This window comes from Homo sapiens, chromosome 9 (genome assembly GCF_000001405.40).
Source record: "Homo sapiens chromosome 9, GRCh38.p14 Primary Assembly".
In the NCBI taxonomy this organism is placed as follows: domain Eukaryota; kingdom Metazoa; phylum Chordata; class Mammalia; order Primates; family Hominidae; genus Homo; species Homo sapiens.
Window position 1 is genome coordinate 72,954,643 of NC_000009.12, and position 1,748 is coordinate 72,956,390.

Consider the following 1,748-nt stretch of genomic DNA (forward strand, 5'->3'; position numbering starts at 1 on the left):
TTGATGACCAGATAGAAACTTCTGTGTTCTTTCAACATTTCTCTGTTTCTTTCTTTTTGGAAAGTCTAATTGTTTTCTCTCTCAAAAATGTGTTTTGAGTTAAATGCACAATTACACAACAGCTGTTACATAACTTGAGAGTGGCGCTCTGGCCATGCCCAAACAGCTGTGTTTTGCTGCTTTCTTCTCCCAGAGTCACAGTTGTTTGTGGATTCAAATACTGGTTTATTTGATGTCCAGGCGATGAAAGCTCAAGGCTTCATAACATACTTGGCTTGTCATCTCACTTCTTATATGATCATTCTCAATTGTATTTTATTGGATAATTATGTAAGAACAGTCCCTTTATACCAGGCATTCCTGAATGTAGGCAAAAGGAGTTGCTTTGGAGACAGGTTACCACACCTGCCCATTTAATTTCAGCAAATATTTACTAAGTATCATTTATGCATCCATAATTCTTTAGCCCTAACCTCACTTAAGCAGATCTTTTCTGCCTAGAAACCACAGGGCCTGAGACCTATATTTTTGAGGTAAACATCATCCTGCCCTGAGAGCTTATTTTGTAGAATAGCATATTTCTGGGAATTGCTGCATATGAGGAAAAGATTTCATCAGACTACTTCTATTCCTTACAGAGGAAATAATGGCTTTTGTGAGAACCTAGGGACCAAGGTTGCACATTTTAGAACTGGACCCAGGATTGTACGTTTTTATGGTATGCCAGGACTATGCAGCAGAGGAGGAGCTGTCCCTTTAACTTGAGAGTAATCGACAAATGATGTTTCATCTTCTTTTTCCTCCTTATGAACAAACTAAATCACACACACACACACACACAGGCACACACACATATGGAGAGAGAAGCAAGAAACATAAGAGGATAGTTTATTCATCTCTTGAATTTGACTTCTCCAGCCATTTGTGAAAGCTTTCATTATACCAAGAAACATATAGATTATGACTTCAACCATTCTTGAAACTACTCTTTCATTTTACAACAAACATCTCCAGAACTCCGTCCAATCCTCAGTTCCTGAAAAGATAAAAGGAACCTAATCTGCCACCCAGGACTTAAAATTTTTAAAAAAATGTTGAAAAAAGTCATATGATGAATTAAAAATAGCTTCTGCAATGGACTGAATTTTTTTTGTCCAGTCACAATGGATATGTTGAAATCCTAACCCCCCATGTGATGGTATTAGGAGATGGAGCCTTTGGGAGGTGTATTAGTCCATTCCCATGCTACTAATAAAGACATACTTGAGACTGGGTAATTTATAAAGGAAAGAGGTTTAATTGACTCACAGTTCAGCATGGCTGGGGAGGCCTTAGGAAACTTACAATCACAGTGGAAGGGGAAGCAAACACGTCCTTCTTCACATGGTGGCAGCAAGGAGAAGTGCTCAGCAAAAGGGGGAAAACCCCCTTATAAAACCATCAGATCTCATGAGAATTCACTTATTATCATGAGAACAGGATGACGGTAACCCCCCTCCATGATTAAAGTACATCCCACCGGATCCCTCCCATGACATGTGGGGATTATGGGAACTACAATTCAAGGTGAGATTTGGGTGGGAACACAGAGCCAAATCATATTAGGAGGTAATGAGGTTATGAGGGTAGGACCCTCATGAATGGATCAGTGCTTTTATAAAAGGGACTCCAGAGAGATCTCTCGCTGTTTCTGCCATGTGTGGATGCAATGAGACATTGGCAATCTGTAACCCAAAAGAGGGCTCTCA